This window comes from Homo sapiens, chromosome 6, assembly GCF_000001405.40.
Source record: "Homo sapiens chromosome 6, GRCh38.p14 Primary Assembly".
Lineage (NCBI taxonomy): Eukaryota > Metazoa > Chordata > Mammalia > Primates > Hominidae > Homo > Homo sapiens.
The window spans coordinates 131,328,349-131,329,617 of record NC_000006.12 but is presented as its reverse complement, the minus strand read 5'-3'; the positions used below and the strand labels follow the sequence as shown (position 1 = coordinate 131,329,617).

Below are 1,269 nucleotides of genomic sequence, written 5' to 3'. Positions count from 1 at the left end.
CAAAGCAGAATTAAACAGCCATCCGGGCACCTTAGTTAGATTTCCTAACAGTTTAAATATTGTCAGCCCTATGCAGTTTACTTTCAAATCATATAATCTCCCCTTCACATGTAATGCAATAAATTATCTCCAAATATGTTATCTTTTCTCAAAATTTTAACTATACTTTTTCATTAATTCCTCCTTTTTTATTACCCGTGTGAGTCACTCATAATGGGAATAATCAGAAAATAAAAGAAATCTGATGAATGAAAGTGGACATCCTTATATTCAGCTGAAGTATAAACTGATACAAACTTTCTGGATGATACCCAAGCAAGGTCGACCTAAAGTTTTTAAAATGCGAATAGTTTTGACCCAGAAATTCCACTTGTAGTGTTATAATTAAACAAATGCAAATGTTTAGCCACAAAATATTGAATATACATCATTTTTTTCTTAAAAGGAAAAAGTATTGGAACCAAACTCAATATCCTATTTTCATGCGCTTCTGTGTGAAGAGACCACCAAACAGGCTTTGTGTGAGCAACATGGCTGTTTATTTCACCTGGGTGCAGGCGGGCTGAGTCCAAAAAGAGAGTCAGCAAAGGGAGATAGGGGTGGGGCCGTTTTATAGGATTTGGGTAGGTAAAGGAAAATTATAGTCAAAGGCGGTTTGTTCTCTGGTGGGCAGGAGTGGGAGTTGCAAGTGCTCAGTGGGGGTGCTTTCTGAGCCAGGATGAGCCAGGAAAAGGACTTTCACAAGGTAATGTCATCACTTAAGGCAAGGACCGGCCATTTACACTTCTTTTGTGGTGGAATGTCATCAGTTAAGGTGGGGCAGGGCATATTCACTTCTTTTGTGATTCTTCAGTTACTTCAGGCCATCTGGGCTTATACGTGCAAGTCACAGGGGATGCGATGGCTTGGCTTGGGCTCAGAGGCCTGACATTCCTGACTTCTTATATTAATAAGAAAAATAAAATAGTGTTGAAGTGTTGGGGCAGTGAAAATTTTTGGGGGGTGGTATGTAGAGAGAATGGGCGATGTTTCTCAGGGCTGCTTCAAGCGGGATTACGGGGCGGCGTGGGAACCTAGAGTGGGAGAGATTAAGCTGAAGGGAGGTCTTGTGGTAAGGGGTGATATTGTGGGGATGTTAGAAGAAATATTTGTCGTATACAATGATTGGTGATGGCCTTGATATGGTTTTGTATGAATTGAAAAACTTAATGGAATAACAGAAGGAGAAAAACAGGTATAAAATGTCTAAGAATTGGGACGACTCAGGAT

At 40.1% G+C, this 1,269-nt stretch overlaps 1 annotated feature.

Moving 5' to 3' along the window:
* Nucleotides 252–1,038: an enhancer, noted in NCBI's record as "OCT4-NANOG-H3K27ac hESC enhancer chr6:131649720-131650506 (GRCh37/hg19 assembly coordinates)". NCBI's record gives its function as "activates a minimal SCP1, AML or CMV promoter by ChIP-STARR-seq in naive and primed H9 embryonic stem cells {active_cell/tissue: H9 hESC(naive and primed)}" and the evidence as "EXISTENCE:reporter gene assay evidence [ECO:0000049][PMID:30033119]".